Below are 18,401 nucleotides of genomic sequence, written 5' to 3'. Positions count from 1 at the left end.
CTATTAATATTGCTTTTATTGTTATTCTACTGTCCTACAGAACACATATTTGAAAGATACAAACACACCTTTGGAGAATCCAAAGTATGTAGCTTTGATCAGAATTTTGTCCTTGCTAATGCTGCAAAAGTATGAACTCTAGGACTTAGTCTTATCATCACAAAGTAATTGTAAACATCTTAAATGAATGGATGAATTTTGTTAAAAATAAACTTCAGAGTAAAGAACTAGCCGATTTTGCTCATGTGATTTATAATCAAGGAATACCTGGGTAATTAGAAGATTTTAGAAACAATTTATAATAATCACCAATCAGACAACAAGGGGGAAAATAACATACAACCGTAAACAGATAAAGGAATCATTAACCATTGGAAAATGCCAAAATTGAAGTTTATTATATGCATGCACAATATGAAAAAGGGTAATTTCTATCACTGAACAATATGGCAGTCACTGGCCACCCTAGGGGGCAGAGGAGGAGTCACTGAGGAGGAGCTGTCTGTATCATAGTAAAGTGGGTAATGCCTTTGAAGCTAAGAAGATTCTTTGCATGCCCTGGTCAGCACTACTAGAGCTGCCAGTGTGTCCAGTTAAAATACATCTCCAACCCAGTTTGTAACTATGACTGGTCCTGTGATAGCAGAATTAACCTGGTGAGGTTCTTGAAAGTCTTGAAAGTCTTTTTTTTTTTTTTGAAGACAGGGTCTTGCTCTCTCACCCAGGCTGGAGTGCAGTGGCATGATCCTAGCTCGCTGCAGCCTCAAACACCTGTGCTCAAGTGATCCTCCCGCCTTGGCCTCCCAAAGTGCTGTGATTACAGGCGGAAGCCACCATGCTTTTTTTCCCCAAGCCACCATTCTTCCTGCCTGAAACATGAACCTGATGCCAGAAAGTGCCAACTGCCACAAAGCTATGCTTGTGGTGTGACAAGCATGAGGATAAGGGCCACAGACTAAGGATGGCAGGAAAGGAGAGCAAAGGAGCCTGCACTCCTGGAGGCATCACCTTGGCTGCCTATTTCCAGATTCCTCTTTGCATAAGGCCCATAAACTCATTAATGATTTAAGCCACTATTGTGTTTTGTATTACTTGCAGCCAAACGTGCAAAATTACTTTGCTTGCTGTAATATTCACTAGTTGTGCATCCTGGGCATGTGGCAACTGTTGGGCCTCACTTTACACATCTACAAAATGGTAAGGTAGGCCGAGCATGGTGGCTTCCGCCTGTAATCACAGCACTTTGGGAGGCCAAGGCGGGAGGATCACTTGAGCACAGGTGTTTGAGGCTGCAGCGAGCTAGGATCATGCCACTGCACTCCAGCCTGGGTGAGAGAGCAAGACCCTGTCTCCAAAAAAAAAAAAAAGACAAACAGAAAAGCAGTATCTTTCAACAATTAATAGTAGGTAGGCCCTTTCCCCCTTAAAGTCATGTATGTTGAATCTGAGAGTTCTGCAGGTCTGTCTAGGCAGCTCTGATACCCTGATGCATGCCTATTTATAATGGTTCCTCATACCTTGCTCAGGTTGAAACCACCACCAGGGGTCCACACATATTTGAGCATATCTGGTGAACTGCATTACTATTTCACAGAAGCCTAGTCAGAGACAATGAGGTAGTTTCCTTGAACAAACAAGCTCAGTCATCAGAGAACAGGGGTGAGCACAGCATGTATAGCAGCAATTTGTCAAATCTGTCCCTGGATCAGCTCTGAGGGCTTGAAATAAAGAAAGCTCTAAGCAAAACCACAAGAGTTCTTCCCCTGAACTTTGCAAAACACTAAGGATTTTTTTTTTTAAACTGGGGAAAATCCTTCTAAAGGGTGTAACACAAAAGGAAGAAAAGTATTACCCTCATGCTTTGCCACTGACTACAAATCAGCACTTAGCGGCAAGTGAGACCACTTGGAGGACTGATAGTGTCAAACAAAGCAAGGCATTCTCAACAGCAGGACCCCTGGAATGTTAAGAGCCATGACTTTTACTTCCCATTTTTCACCTGCTCAGTGATAGGCAGCAGTCCTTCACCTGCTCTCAGGGATGAGACTGTGGGCAGACCCTGTGGCTTTTCTGAACACTTAGGAAATAAAAAGCCTCTAAATCTCTTACCCCCACTCCCATGTGGTGAAGGAGAGAACCTATGTTTTGTAAAGGGTAGATTCTAGTTGACTTTTTCTCTTCCACACATCTCCTTTTCTATTACTAACCACTTCCAAGATCACTGTGGGGCATAGTGAAGGAAAGTTCTTGCTTGATACTTAAAGATTCCTTTTCTCTGGCCAAGGAGATGGGCTAGAGCCAGCTCTCTCTTGTGAATATTATTTTCACAGGTTATTTGAGACTTACTTCCTTAGTAGGCCTCCACAACTATGACTTTGCCAATGTGGGCAGTGCCTCTCCTGTGGCCAGCCACACCTTACCCCTCAGCTTCTATACCCCATGGTATTCCCCACAGCCTCATACTGATGAGGTTTCCCATCCTACTGGCATTACCCTTGTAGAAAATGACCCCAGGTAAACATTTCCACTGTGGGTTCACCAACAGGCCCTTGGGATCCATGCACCTTTGGGTTAGGAATGCAGCCACCTGCTGCAAGTTGTGCTGTCTTTTCCACATGCCACAGGCCACATCAGCTTCACAAAGTATGAGTTGCATACCAGACTACCATGACCCCACAACTAGGGGAAAATCACATGGTGTTTTCCAAGTGATTCCATTGAAGGTCCCATCACTCTATGTAAAGATGTAAGGCTTGGCCGGACGTTGTGGCTCATGCCTGTAATCCCAGCATTTTGAGAGGCTAAGATGGGTGAATCACTTGAGGTCAGGAGTTTGAGACCAGCCTGGCCAACATTGTGAAACCCCATCTCTACTAAAAATACAAAAATTAGTTGGGCGTGGTGGCAGCCCATGTAATCCCAGCTACTCGGGAGGCCGAGGCAGAAGAATCACTTGATTCTAGGAGGCGGAAGTTGCAGTGAGCTGCGGTAACGCCACTGCAGTCTAGCCTGGGCAATGAGACTCAGTCTCAAAAAAAAAAAAAAAAAAAAAAAAGGATGTAAGGCTCACAACAAAATTCACCCAAAAAACCCTTCTCACAAAATTCTTTCCCCGTTGCCACCCTCCTCTTTTTTTAAAATCCATGTTAAAGAATTGTGTAATTAACTTTTGCAAATATCCTTTGAAAATCTCTAGCTTGATCTGGTAACTCCCTTCTGTATAGAAAACCAACGGCAAAATATTTTTCCCAGCTGAGCAGCAGAAAGAATTACATACCCCAGAGAGACAGGGGTGACATGAGCAGGAAGGATTTCTTAGGGAGGGTGAGACAGTCCCTGAGGAGTCCCCAAATTTACAAGGTGGGAACAGGAAATTTGGGGGTTTAGAGATCTTGTAATCTTAAAATTGGTGAAGTAAGCAAGTAAAACTTCAACTATTACTGTTAATATAACTACATTGATACTCAGGAGCTGGTAAGGTCTAGATAAATTCACTTTACCTAAATGTAATGATAATAAATTCTAAATTATGGTACATGAGAGAAGAACACAAATTACCCAAAGTTACATCTGTATAGTCTTGAAATGTATTAAATGATTCAGTGTAATTATCAAGTAACTTTATAATGATATTGTCCCTAAGATAATATTAAGGCTACTTTGGATATCCATAGTATAAACCTCTGAAAACATGTAGAAGCATCCTGAGTTGCAGGGATAGTCAGTCTAGGATTTAAAAATCAAACTACAGAAAGTCCACAAAATGGATAACATATACGTTCAATAGCCATCTCATTCATGTGTTTCCCCAAAAGGAAATTATAGGACGTATTCCACACCAAGCCACAGAAATATTTTCTTAAAATTCTTTGTCCAGAAATTATTAAAACCCTGGAATAAGGGTTAGGTGGAATCCTTCAATATAACACTTTCAAGGAGAAGTGAGGGGAGGTGTGGGGAAAGGAAGGAAAGAGAGAGAGAGAGAAAAAAAACAGCATTTTACCAGCTAGAATAAATAATAACTCGTCTACCCACTTGGACTCAGGAACCCTGGACATAAGCTTCTGAGGAACCGATCAAAAACTCTACTGAAGTACAACATCTGACAGCCACGGGAACTCAGCCACTGCATGGTTTTCCTCATCCCATTATGTACAGAGCTTTCTAGCAATGCTGAGCATTTCCAAGCAAATAAATAAACACAAAAGACTACATTTCAAAAACAGCTGCCTAAATTGGAGTCATAAAACACATGCACACTGAATGTGGGTACATGCCCACACAAGCTGGACTTGTAAAGACTGCAGCAAAAGAATGAAAAACAGAAGAAGAAACCTGGGAGTGACACTTTGAAGCAGATTTAAGGAGCATGCTGCGTAAAATATACACTACAGAGTCATCTCATCCATGCAGAAAACTGCACATACAGCCAACACGGTACTGGAGGAAGCTCCCATTCATGTTTTCTTTACTCCAAGACAACACAAGCCAGATGCCAATATCCAAATATTCTTCACGTACAAATTAAGCATTAAATGAATGGTAAAAGTGCTTATTCTGGTATAATAAAAATCGTGTTGTTTTTATTTGAATGGCTGATATAAACAAAACACTTTATTTAATGCCATTAAAGGTTTCAGAGCTAACATTTTCCTAAAACTAAATGCAGCATTTTCAATTGTCCTATGAAGTTATGTTGAACTGTTTATATTATTAAATCGGTATGCCCTCTTCTCATAAAAAATGTTACAGAAGTAACACCCAACTGAATCAGGAACAAGGCATAGTATGAGAAATAAACATAGAACATAATATAAGGACAATATAATAATTTGAAGCCTGAAAGCATCTACATTACTTAATTATTAAACAAGAATGGGTAGTCTATGCCAGTTGATTAAGTAAAGGTATTTCTAATTTCTAGGAGCTACTCATTGTTAATTTTATCAATGAAAATGATGCTGTAAAATTTTTCTAACAAGCACTTCCATTGCCATTACTATTTCAGAGTTACAATGTTATTCCTTGTGATGAATGCACCATACTCCCAATGTTGTTAACCATCCTCCTTTGTCTATTAATTTGTTTATAAAAACATTCACTCATAACAATTATTCAGCCCAGCTGTGCTATGTGCTAAGGCTTCTGAGACAAGTAACACAGCTTCAAGGAGCCTACAGCTTAGAATGGGAAAGAAACCAGTAAGGAATGATTATAAAATCAGGCAAAATGTGTGGTAATAGAGGTAAGGTTATTCAAAACTTGGATGTCAAACTGCTTTCACAGACATAAGTTTATACACAAATCATGGAGTAGGGAGGGAAATGATTATAACCCCAAAATTCAGAGCATGGACTCCAAGATTAAATCTGTCATCTATGATGATATATAGTTGATTAGGAGAAGAGTCTCCGCTAGAGCCCTACATTTTTCACTACACTATGCTGAATTTCCCAGCTCATGAAGATTTTGACAAAAAGTCATCATCATATATCATATATACAACTAGTTATTGAATTCATGTGCTTCCTAGATCCGTATTCGGGACTCCAGTGTAGAAGCTAGTGCAATAACCTGTATGTACTGATCCTGTGAAATTTTAATGACTTTCTGTTCTTTCTTTCTCATTTCTCAACTCTCTCTCTTAACCTTTCCTGTCATCCCTTTCTAGTTGAAAGGACTTCAGTCATTAGTAGTCTATGACTGAAAAACAGTGAGGGCAGCCTTAAAGCAAGCATCATTAAACTTTAACTTAAAAACAAGGCCAAGAGCAGACCACACAATCTATGTAAGCATGTGCAGAAAAGATGTGGCCACCAAGCTATTGAATACTAACTCTATGCTACCCTGGGAACCTTCTCACAAACATTCCTACAGTTTCACTTCCAGAGGCTACTACCCACATGCTGCCGGTGGGTGGGGGATATGCAAGTGCATTCAGATATACTTAATCTGCAAAAGCACAAACACTGTCTTAATTATAATCTAATAATTCTAATAAACTCATGGTTAAATTCATGGCCAAATAATGCCCTTACTTTTTTCAGCAATGCTCTACTTGATTGAAAATCTTTGTTTTAGAATTTTACTTTTGAAATCTGTCAGAATAGCACATTCTTTTCAAATATCCTCAATAATGACATAACCTTTAAATATAGGTGTGGTTTTGGGGGTAAAAATGATTTTTATTAGAGGCAATGCCTTGTTTTCACTGATGATATCATCATAAGAGCTTCTCAGAGGAGGTCATTATTTATAAGGACAAATAAATAATTGTTTATATTTGATAACCTAATATTCTCTGACAGTCTTGATAATTCCACGAGTTTAGAGTTAACAAAACAGAGGCTTTTTCCAGTTAGAAAACTATCTCAGATTTTGCTGGTTGTTGCTTAGTTCAAGGGCCTGCAGGGAACTCCAAAGAAAATATTCCCTCTAGTAATACTTGGATTAAATTGGTGATTTGGATGTTTTGGCCAATTAAGACACTAGGGAATTACCAGCCTCAACCAGACACAGCCTCTGTAATATAAAACTGAACCATATGTGGTCTTAGTTTCTCAATCACATAAATTTGATGGAGGGAAGCCAACTAAAGAAGAAAATCTATGTCACATGATTTCTACCCTAACTCTAGTTGCTGAAAAAGCTCTGAAATAACCCTTTCCAGAGGCAGTGCTGGAGCAAGAGGTGATCCACCATCCTGAGGAAAAGAAGGTGGATTAAAACAGGCAATCCTGCAAGTTGTCTTCCAGGGCACGATCTTTCACAAAGCAGACCAAATTAAATGAAGCAAATGGTGCTCCTAGACCTAAAAGGAATATGTTGATTCCCAGTTCTTTCTTCTTCAAAAAGATTTCAGTGCGAACCTACCAATTGTCTGGGCTTCTCAAGTTTCATTTCTAAATTTAATTTGACCTAGTAATGTTTGCTGGGAAGAAAAATAGAACTTTGAGACAGCAGAATACAGGGTGGAGATCAGCCAGACTGAAAAAGTGGGAAAATTGGAGATTCTAGTCATGGCTGTTACTCCCACCAGCTGTGTGCCTGTCACCTGTCTGGGTGGCAGGCTCCTCTGTCACATGAGAGTACCAGCAAACACTCCACTTCTGAAATCATCCTTAACCTTCTCACTTTTGGCTAACAAAGCAAATTCCCAGTATCTGCATTATGGGCTGCTATATATGGATAAATATGTTCATTCTTGGGGGTTAGTTCCTGTTGCCACTAAATTATCTAAAGATGTCTCCCACCCTTTGGTCATAAGTAATTACCTTTGTGAACTGCAAAACTTTCCACTCTGTGGGAAAAAAGGGTAACAATCAAACTGCATACACTGTAGAACAGGACCACACAGTCCACACAGGCATGGAGCAAAGCATTCTATAATGATAGAATATCACTGCTCTCAAAGCATCTGGAAGTCTTTCAGATTAAATCACTGTAGTCTACAAACAGTGTAGAAATAATTCAATCATCCCCACCATGGCTGAGGAAATTGAAGGATGAACAGTTTTCAGAAGGAAATTTGAAAGCAAGATCCAATTTACCAATATTTTCTACAAGAAAAGCAATAGAGTTGTAGAAAATAACAGTGAAACAAACAGTAATCCATTTTATGTATTATTATTATAGAAAGAGACCAGAACTTGATATACCCACCTGCCACCCACTACCCACCCCTATAATCCACCACTGATTCAATAGAAACTCATTTGGACACTAATGATAGAAAAATTTTTTTTTAACGTTGAAAAATAGTCATCCATGAGAAATTCTTAAGTTAGTCTAAAGATACACTCTAAAATTTGTAAATGAATTTACAACAAATTAAGGTTATGCTTTGAGAAAATTCCAAATTTTATTCTGGAACGAAAATATTAAAAATATTTGTATTTTAGACAAGTACTGAAATGTCTACCCTTAATACAAAAGGTGTCAAATGCCACCCTATAGAGATCTTGACCCTACCTAGGTCTTATGGAAGGATTCCCTTAGAGTCACATGGTGAAATGTCACAATATTTTACCCGTACATTTATCTGGACCACAGGATGGTCATTGGATATTCACCATCAGCAGCAGTATTCTACCTAGATGAAGAAATCGAAAGAAACGTACAATTCTTGCTCTGGAAATGATTTAAATCTCCAGTCATTAGCAACAAGCCCATCATTTGCCACTGAAGAAATGTGGTTCGGATTAATGTAAAATAAGAATGAATACACAAACACATTGCTTAAGGTGTTTCAGTTGTCATAATAAAGTATAGCTTCAAACTGCATTGGAAGGAAAAGAAATATAAACACAGTATACGACAAAGCAGAAAAGATAGTGAAGAGAATAACTAAATCAAGTTAAAAGGTGGCAATAAGAGGAAGGAAAGATGTCTGCTGCTTTCTTGGTTTTCTTTTTCTTTTACTTTTTCCTTTTCCTTTTTTTTTTTTTGTGGTGGGAGTAGGGTAGGCTAAGGGGAGGAAAGGAGGAAGATAGCTTGCCCAGGCATACAAGGGATGTTTCACAGCCACATTTTACTCCTACTGATAGAACAATGGGATGATTCTTTCGTCATTTTGAATAGGCTGCCAATATCAGGCTCCTCAGGCTGCCCCCAATAGCATACTTAAAACTCGATGATCTGGAAACTCAACTCACTTCCTTCTAAAGAAGGCAGAGGGCATTTCCAAACTATATAACAAAGAAGCCTCACTCTAGCCACACTTTCCTATTTCCTCAGCTCTGACCCACCTCAAGTCTTTGGCTGAGAATGCTCCTCCCACCTGAAAGGGCCCTAGAATTTACTTGCTTTTTCCAAACCAGAATTCTATCCAGTCCTGGTAACAAAGGTTTGAGGTAACAAAGGCTTGTTACTTCAGTCCATACTCATCTCTCTCCATCTCCTTTTATACTTACAGGGAGCTCATCACAATTCAACCAGGCCATGTTTTTGAAATGCTTCAGGTTTATAATAGGCTTTTCTATTTAACTAGATTGTAAGCCTTCCTCCAAGGCTAAGTCAGATACCTTTTCTTACATCTCCCCAGACAGCCGGACAGCTGGAAAGGGAAGCACTAAAAAAGAAAACAAAAACAAACAAACAAACAAACAAAAAAAGATGACCCACAGTTAATTTAAAAAAAAAAAAGTTTTATCTTAAAACATTTCCGGTCGTTGCATTTGTCACAATGTTATTACTAGAAATCATAAAATGAACCTTATTTTTCCATTGTTTTGAACAGCTGCATTCATATTTAAAGACTGAAAGTGTAACTAACAATACATTAGACAAAACAAACTAAGCCTCTATAGTTACTGAAAAAAGTCAAACTGTGGTCCAAATCCCAAGTATCTGTTTATATAGAGAGGTATAAATACACAGACAAACAGGGTCCCAGTATACTATTATAGAGCATGGAGCGATTAAAATAATATGAAATTACTACTCTGCAATATCATAAATTTGACTTAGCATAAACTGATCTATTAGCTATAATAAGCCTCACTTAACCATGTTCTCCATCTTTTTAAAGCATGACTGGAGTTAAAGTTTCTTTAATCTTTTTAAAGTCTCTTTAAGTCTGTCCAGGGAAATCTGAAGAGATGCCTTCTTTTTCTCTCAGTAGCTTTCCAAATGGTAGCAAAGAACATTCAGGAGTCCCTCTACTGATGAGAACAATGTTCTGCAACTGACATCATTTGGCAAATAGGCAAATATGGCCATGGTAGCCTCCAAAAACCCTAAGAACATTATATGGTGACTTCAGACTTCATTGACTTCTGGCTTACTGGTAACTACCCCCACTTCAGAACTACCCAATAATCTCAATGGTAGTCTTCAAACAGAAGTACAAGTGGTGTCATGAAACAGAGAAAAAGAGACAGCTATGAAACTAGAGAAAGGAAGATACAATCACACTCCATTAGTAATTAGCAGGAGTTGCCTGGGAACCACCGAAATAATATGAAACCCAAGCCTTTATTATGCTTTACCTTTTCATATTTACTGCCTCCGAGCCCTGTGGCATACTAACAGGCTGAGATCCTGCACCAAAAATTATCAAATGAAAATTTGAGAAATCATAGAAATTTCCAAAAATTAATATGCAAAATGAAATGGGAAATGCCAATGATGAAAAAGAAATACTGTGCCACTAAACTCAAAATGAATATTCTTAAATCAAGAATTCCTAAATATCAGGGAGGAAAAACAAGTGCCTCACAAGCCATTCATGTTCTAATCTTGAGCCCTTTCATTATTCTATATTTGGATACAGATTTGGAAAGCTCCCTAATAATTTGATTTTATTTAACATATAATTATGTGGCTCTTATCTGGCAGGCAGTGTTCTAAGAGCTTTAAAAATATTAGCTTAGTTAAGCATCATACTAACCTTAAATCGGTGCTATTATTATCCTCCTATCACTAATGGGGAAACAAATGAAATGTTAAGTGATCAAACAGTTCATGAGAGGCAGATGCAAGATGCACAAATTTCATATTCTGTGCTCTTAATCACTATGGTACCTCTCCTAAAACATTGCAAGCTAAACTCAGCAAATTTCCTACTATCTGCAATCCATCATTCCCTTCACATGCACTGGCATTCACTTGGTAACCTATAAACCTCATCCTCCTCTCCCATCTCCTCAGCCCTGTACCCCAAACCATAAGTTATTATCCCTGCCATTTCTATTTTCACTCACTACTCTCACCACTTGTTTACATCTCCTTCTCTCCATCTCCACTAGAGGAGTTATCATTTAGGACCCATGAGTTCTTCTCAGCATTAATACAATAGCCTTCTGACTAACCTCACTTGCCTGTGGACTCCTCCGATGAGCCGTTCTAAATACTAACAATAAAACTGATCCGTTCTGTATACCTTTATTCATCCAGGTCCACTGCTATGTTTGGTGAATGCAAAAATGAATCAAAGTCCTGCTGTTTAGGGAGTGACAATCCAGTCTCCCTAGCTCTGATCATGTAACCCCAAAAATACTCATTAAAGTTCTGATGCTTGCTGAATTATGTCCAGCTCCTTAGCCTGGTTTCTAAGGTCTTTATTATATGAAATTTTTTCTTCTGCTCCTCTACATAACCCATTTTTTCCCTACTAAAGCCATCCATGTTTTTGCATCTCCCTACATTTGCTTATGTCTTCTTTCCTATGAGAATGCCATCTCTACCTCTACATAATCTGGCTGAAATCTTACCCAACTGTCAAGGCTAAGTTTTCTCAGATATCACCAGATGACAGCTTCCCATAGACAAAACAAACAAACAAACAAACAAACAAACAAAAACAGAGAAAAAATACACCGTACCACTTCGAATCAGATAGAAGGTACCAGTATGCCTTTCACTGCCCTGTTTACAAACAAGCTCTGATTGATATAAAAAGATGTAAGCTGTCCTTTTGGATAAATATATTCTCCAATATTCACTCCAGGAACAGTCAGCTCAGCTGAACAGTCCTTTCTCCCTGGCATTTCCTTCTCTCCTCTCCTTTTCCCCTCTATCTGCTGTCATTGGCATATATCATTTCAGAGCTGATAGCAGAGGCTATATCCTCCACTAAGTCTTTCCAAATTCCTCCAGCTAGAAGTAACTCCTCCCTCCTCTGAACTTGGGTAACAGTCTGCCTGTGTGCCTCTTCTAGCACCCATCACATCCTACATCACTGACGTTATGTACATGCATCTCCGTCAATAACTCAGCATCTGAAGAATGGACCCTTGTCTTACACATTTGTCAATCGTATCTATCATGGCACAGAGGCTACCAGATGGTAAGGATAATGGGTGAATAATGGGTCAGTGGATGATTGCATTTATACATGCTGGTCCAGGCAAAGAAGCTAACAAAATTAAAAAAGGTGAACAAGATAACTTTGGAGGAAGCAGGATGGAAGGACCAGGGGGACACACAATAATGGGTAGATCAGCAGGCATTGCTAGCCTCTTTCAGGCAACATAATTCCTTTCCCTTGCTTTACCATGCTAGATCTGGCCTCAGACTATTGGAGCCAATATGAATGGTTTGCAATTTACAAAACTACTGTTTCACAAAAGCAATCAGTGGAAATAAAAGTCCTTGACTTGCCAAGCTAAAACTCTGATAACATTGTGACAGACTGTTACCATCTTGGTTTGTGTAACTATCAGTATCATCACCAACACTTCACGCAATGCCCTGTGGATTTTTGGGGTATGGAGATAGCTGAGTAATCTTCTGTGAGGTTAAAAGTTGCACTTCTGAATGCCTGTTAGACTTTCAGTTCTGCCACCTATAGGCATTAATGGGTAGGCCTCAATTCTTTCATCTATAAAATTGGAATAATAACAGTCATCTTGTGCAGTGGCTCTGAGGATTAAATGAGAGCATTCATGTAAGAAGCTTAGAGTAATGTCTGGCTTATACGGAGATGTTAAGCAACATTAATTATTATACAAATGTGTAAAATGTATTTGAGTTTACGAAACTTATACTCAAATTGGAGAAGATTATACTTGCACAAATACTTCATCTGAATTCAATTCAACATTTCCTGAGCTTCAACTTACACATAAAGAGACAAGGTTGGGCACAAAAAAGAATAAAGATAAGAAGCTCCCCTATCTTTAGAGATCTTCAGTCTAATAGATAAGACTAATAAGTACCCCCAACTAATTATAAGTCAGATAATGTTAAGGGATACCTATTAGATACACTAGAAAGGCACCCCAGTAAATACACCACTCCAGTGGTTCTCAAATGGAGATATCTGGCAATGTCTGCAGACGTGTTGGGTTGTCACAACTAGGGAGAAGGCAACATTATTGGTCTGCTACTGGCATTTAGTGGGTAGAGTACAGGGATGCCGCTAAATATCCTACAACACATGAAATAGTCCTGTGGAATAGGAAAGCACCCTGCTCAAAATGTCAACAGTGCTGGGTGGAGAAACCCCCTGTCCTCTGACTGGAAATGAATTGTATTCCGGAGTGTCAGTCTTCAGGTCCCCACCTACAGCCTGATTCACTTCTGGTGAGACAGGCTTCCTGAGACTTTAGCTGTCTGGAACTCTGCCAGTGGCTTCTAATGGTTATTTCTCTTATAGGCTTATCCTCCTTTTGATCCAAGTCTATCTTTCCACTTGTCACCACATTGCTAATCAGGCCATGAGCAGACCCCACAAAGCTGCCTAGATTCCTAGCTTTACCATTCTCCAATGTGGCTTGTCTCATCCTCATCCAAGCTCCAGTTACAACAACACCAAGAAGTTTGCCATGGAAATGTCAGGCTATTCTCATTTTTATCGCCTGCTTTTTGGGGGCTGGCAGCAAAACCTCTTAAAACATTGCCTGAAAAGAATAAAAGGCAAAGGAAATTATTGTTAACTAACTGTTGCCAATTAAAATAATGAAACTTTGAATGACTAAATTATCCAATGTATAAACATACTTTATATTAGTCTGTTTACACAATGATCATCATTCTTAATCATTTAGCATCTTAAAATGCACAGTAAAAAATGTTTGATGTTTTGACAATATCTGCCCTATCACAAAGCATGCTCTTGCATCAGTGTCTTGAAATAGTTGATGCTTCCTATTACTTTAAAATATTCACTCTCTGTTAACCGTGTGAATTCATGGATATAGAGCACATATCTCCACCCACCCCAACCATGTCTAAGAGCAAAATTAAACCCCAAAGTTGTCATACCCATTAGGATGGCTACTATCAAAAAAAAACAAAAAAACAAGTGTTAGTGAGGATGCAGAGAAACTGGAATACTTGTGCTCTGTTAGTGGGATTGTAAAACAGTGCAGCCATTATAGAAAACAGGATGGCAGTCCCTCAAAAAATTAAAAATAGAATTACCATATGATCCAACAATACTACTTTCTGGACTGTATCCAAAAGAATTGAAACCAGGGTCTCAAAGACATATTTGTATGTCCATACTCAAAGCAGCATTATTCACAATAGTTAAAAGGTGGAAGCAATCCAAGTGTCCCTCCATGGATAAATAGATGAACAAAATATAATGTATACATACAATGGAATATTATTCAGCCTTGAAAAGGAAGGAAATTCTGACGCATGCTACAACATGAATGAATCTTGAGGACATTATGTGAACTGAAAAAAGCTAGTCACAAAAAGACAAATACTATATAATTCCACTTGCACATAGTATCTAGAATAGTCAAACTCCTAGGAACAGAAAGTAGAAGGGTGATTGCCAGGGGCTGTGGGGAGGGGGAGATAGGGAACTGTTGTGTAATGGTATAGAGTTTCAATTTTGCAAGATGACAAGTTCTAGAGATTGGTAGCATAATAACGTGAATATACTTAATACTACTCCACTGTTCACTTAAAACTGGTTAAGATGGTACATTATATGGAATGTGTATTTTACTACAACTACAGAAAAACAAAGTTGTTAATATTTAATGTCACTTCTAGGTATTCTCTAATTGGACTCATTAACTCAAAATTCTTTGCACATCTAAGAAGAAACATATCTGCACATCTATCTGGGAACTAGGCTCAGAGCAACAAACATAGCTTAGATTTAGTGCATTTTTCAAGGGAAAATAAATGTTGTAAGTTATACAGAATAGAGCATCAGTGATTAACATGGCCAAAATTCCATGCATGTAGACTCTATTTCTCTTTCACACAATTTGCCTTAAAAAGGGTGATTTTTGAAGGCAATCCAGCCTACATAAATGACTATCAACATGGAAATGATTGGGTAAATTATGATACACGCACATAATGAAAGAGTAGATGTATAACAGTGCAAGGATGTCTATGAAACAAAGGCTAATGGAAAAGGAACCTGCAATATAATACCCTTCATACATCCCATGTTGCTGTTCTAAGCACTTGGTACCAGCAGTGTTAAATAATTTTGGGTCCTGCTGAAAGAGGTTATACAATTTAATGGAGACAAACTAAAACACAAACATGTATATGGTCACAGATAGTAAGTTCCATAAAGAAAAAGTACTGGACACCATAAGAGGGAGCACTTGTTTTAGAGGGCCCAAGGGAAGTGTCCACCATGAGGCCAACTCACATCTTATGTAAACTGAGGCCTGAAGAATGAACAAGATTAAGTCAAGTGACGAATGGAAGAAGAAACACCGTATGTGAAGGCTCCTACATATCTGTACATACTAAGTGATATGGTTTGGATCTGTGTCCCCACCCAAATCTTATGTTCAACTGTAATCCCCAGTGTTGGAAGTGAGGCCTAGTGAGAAGGGACTGGATCATGAAGGTGGATCCTTCAAGAATAGCTTAGCACTATCTCTTTGGTGCTGTTCTTGTGGTAGAGTTCTCATGAGATATGATTGTTTTAAAAAGTTTGTAGCCCCTCCCCTATCTCTCTCTCCCTCCAGTTTGTGCCATGTAAGATGTTCCTACTTCCACTTCCGCCATGACTGTAAGTTTCCTGAGGACTCCCCAGAAGCAGAAGTTGCTATGCTTCCTGTACAGCCTGCAGAACTGTGAGCCAATTAAACCTCTTATCTTTATAAATTACCCAGTCTCATGTATTTCTTTATACCAATGTGAGAACGGCCTAATATTAGAAATGGATATAATCATTATTATGCCCAAAGAGTTAGATTTCAAAGCCTGTTAGTGAGAGCCCTTTGTTCTGCTATTTTCTTTTCTTTTCTTTTTTTTTTTTTTTTTGAGACGGAGTCTTGCTCTGTCGCCAGGTTGGAGTGCAGTGGTGTGATCTCGATCTTGGCTCACTGCAACCTCTGCCTCCCAGATTCAAGTGATTCTCCTGCCTCAGCCTCCCAAGTAGCTGGGACTACAGGTGCACGCCACCATACCCAGCTAATATTTTTTTTTTTAAGAGACGGAGTCTCGCACTGATGCCCAGGCTGGAGTGCAGTGGTGCGACCTCTGCTCACTGTAACCTCTGCCTCCCTGGTTCAAGCAATTCTCCTGCCTCAGCCTCCTGAGTAGCTGGGATTACAGGCATCTGCCACCATGCCCAGCTAATTTTTTTGTATTTTTAGTACAGACAGGATTTCACTATGTTGGCCAGTATGGTCTTGATCTCGATCTCATGCTCCACCTGCTTCGCCCTCCCAAAGTGCTGGGATTACAGGTGTTAGCCACTGCACCCGGCCTGTTCTGCTATTTTCATTCCTCCTACCTATCAAAAGACAAAGTGACTTACATGTTGCCGCCAGTCTTATTAAAAAGGGTTGGTGAAAAAGTATTTGTATTTTAGTTTTTTCTCTCAAGAATAGAAAATATAGCAATATATACCTATTAGAGGGATTCAGAGAAAGCAAGTGGATTGTTTGAGTTAACACACTGTGGAAGTCTTATTAAGTCTACTTACAAGAGCAAAAAATTTCTGAGACTGGCCAGATATAACTATTGTTAACCACATGGCGGACCCTGGAGAGTCAAAGGAGCTCATCACCTAATTCACTCTCACTCTCTGCATAATCTCATTCAATGACAAAAGTGAATTTAAATACCATCTATACATTGGTGATTTCCAAATTTCTTTTTCCAGCTCTGATCTCTCCCCTGGTTTCCACTCAACACTGCATTTGGCTAATATTTAACATGTCCAAAAGAAAATGCTTGATAACACTCACCACACCTGTTACCCCCTACAGTCCCTCCATCTCAGAATCTCATCAGGCTTAAAACCTTAAATGAGTAGTTTTCAACTGGTTGACTTTGACCCCTGAGGGACAAAATGTCTGGAGACACTGGTTGTCACAATTTAAGGGGAAGTAGAGTACCTCAAGAGCATAGAGGTGTGGGATATTGCTAAACATCCTACAATGCACAGGACAGACCCCCATAACAAAAACATATCTGTTCCAAAATATCAACAGTGCTGAGGTGGAGAAATCCTACCAATGACACATCATTGCCGCCTCCCTTTCTCTTGCAATCTACATTTGATCAATGAGCAAATCCTCTTAGTATCACCTGCAAAATAAACCTAGCATCTGAACACTTCTACCACTTCCACTACTTTCATCCTGGTGCAAATTATCATTGTCTTTTAAGTAATGAAATAACGAAAACAGCCTCCTAAGGGGAGCTCAGCACACAGTCTTGTCCTCTACAGTCTGCATAACAATTAGGGTAGTCCTTTAAATTCCTAAATCAGTTCATGTCACACTTCTGCTGAAAGACCCTTCTACAGAGCAAAAGTCTAATTCCTTACAAGGCCTAAAGAGTCCTACATATTCTTCATAATCCCCCCGCCCAATCAACCACACTTTATCTCTTCCCACTTTCCCATTTGTTCCTGTGCTTTAGCCATATTTGCCTATGCTCCTCCTCAAACAGTCCGAGCACTTTCCAGCCTCAGGACCTTTGTACTTGCTGCTGTAAAGCTGTCTGGGCAACCTGAAAAGCATTTTCCCAAGAGAGTTGTAAGACTGACTTCTTTCTTTGTCAGGTCTCTGCTTAAATGACATTTACTCACTGAGGCCTTCCTTGATTTCCTGACATTAAAAACTCACCTACAGCCCCCTCTGCTACCTATCCTAGTTTATCTCCCTTTTTCCAGAGTATATATCACCATCTGATAATACATTTTGACTTTCTTCTTTGTTATGTCTGTTTCTGCCAACTGGAAGGCAGAAGCTCTTTTTGACCAGAGTTGTATTCTCAGCTCTGGAGCAATATCCAGCCCAGAGAAAGAGATTAATAAATATTTGTTGAAAATAAATTATTGCTATCCTTTCCAACTACTTCTGGGTATAAAATCCCATAAATTTCGTCTGTTTTGTAAATAAAAATGAAACTATGCTATGGTCCACCATCCGCTTTGCTATAAAGTTTTCCAAATCCTACAGTTTACAGCTTGTGTCTTTAAGCAAAAGATATAAGCAGAACCTGGCTGAACCTATTATTAATGTGTTCACTATATGAAGGCTCATTCATTCATAAGAAACTGAAGAGAGGGACAGGCACGGTGGCTCATATCTGTAATCCTAGCACTTTGGGAGGCCTAGGTGGGAGGATTATTTGAGCCCAGGAGTTTAACACCAGCCTGGGCAACATGGGGAGAGACCCCATCTCTATGAAAAGCAATAAAAATATAACATTAAAAAATTGTTTTAAAAAAGAAATTGAAAAGAAATCAGTTTTTGGCAGCAGTTTTTAAGTGTAAGCTCCATAAATGAGGTAGTGAACTCAGGGCTAATCATTGACACTGTTCAGCAAAGTATACAGTCACAGAAGACAATCAAATCAAGACATCCGGGCTGGGCTCAGTGGCTCATGCCTATAATCCCAGCACTTTGGGAGGCCGAGGCAGGCGGATCACTTGAGGTCAGGAGTTTGAAACTAGCCTGGCTAACATGATGAAACCCCATCTCTATTAAAAATATGGAACTTAACCAGGC

The 18,401-nt window shown here is 39.2% G+C and overlaps 1 protein-coding gene across 5 annotated transcripts in view, besides 3 other annotated features; it reads right to left on the bottom strand.

Moving 5' to 3' along the window:
• The window catches only part of ARHGAP42 (Rho GTPase activating protein 42), a 306,654-nt gene that overhangs the window by 163,884 nt on the left and 124,369 nt on the right, over positions 1-18,401 (bottom strand). The window contains exons 4-5 of one of the 5 annotated variants that reach the window (NM_001367945.1): positions 13,202-13,343; positions 8,913-9,070 (exon numbers count right to left, since the gene is read on the bottom strand). The exons of 3 other annotated variants lie outside the window; for them this stretch is intronic. In NM_001367945.1, the coding sequence (NP_001354874.1) occupies positions 8,913-8,942 (30 nt within the window). In that variant the 5' untranslated portion in view covers positions 8,943-9,070; positions 13,202-13,343. Of the gene's footprint in view, positions 1-8,912; positions 9,071-13,201; positions 13,344-18,401 lie in introns of those variants that run through there. One more of the 5 variants, XM_047426418.1, reaches the window with a different exon arrangement.
• Positions 291-1,014: an enhancer, noted in NCBI's record as "H3K27ac hESC enhancer chr11:100699775-100700498 (GRCh37/hg19 assembly coordinates)". NCBI's record gives its function as "activates a minimal SCP1, AML or CMV promoter by ChIP-STARR-seq in primed H9 embryonic stem cells {active_cell/tissue: H9 hESC(primed)}" and the evidence as "EXISTENCE:reporter gene assay evidence [ECO:0000049][PMID:30033119]".
• Positions 1,015-1,740: an enhancer, noted in NCBI's record as "OCT4-NANOG-H3K27ac hESC enhancer chr11:100699049-100699774 (GRCh37/hg19 assembly coordinates)". NCBI's record gives its function as "activates a minimal SCP1, AML or CMV promoter by ChIP-STARR-seq in primed H9 embryonic stem cells {active_cell/tissue: H9 hESC(primed)}" and the evidence as "EXISTENCE:reporter gene assay evidence [ECO:0000049][PMID:30033119]".
• Positions 1,741-2,466: an enhancer, noted in NCBI's record as "OCT4-NANOG-H3K27ac hESC enhancer chr11:100698323-100699048 (GRCh37/hg19 assembly coordinates)". NCBI's record gives its function as "activates a minimal SCP1, AML or CMV promoter by ChIP-STARR-seq in naive H9 embryonic stem cells {active_cell/tissue: H9 hESC(naive)}" and the evidence as "EXISTENCE:reporter gene assay evidence [ECO:0000049][PMID:30033119]".

This window comes from Homo sapiens, chromosome 11 (assembly GCF_000001405.40).
Source record: "Homo sapiens chromosome 11, GRCh38.p14 Primary Assembly".
Taxonomy (NCBI): Eukaryota; Metazoa; Chordata; class Mammalia; order Primates; family Hominidae; genus Homo; species Homo sapiens.
This window is presented reverse-complemented; position numbering and strand designations above follow the sequence as displayed.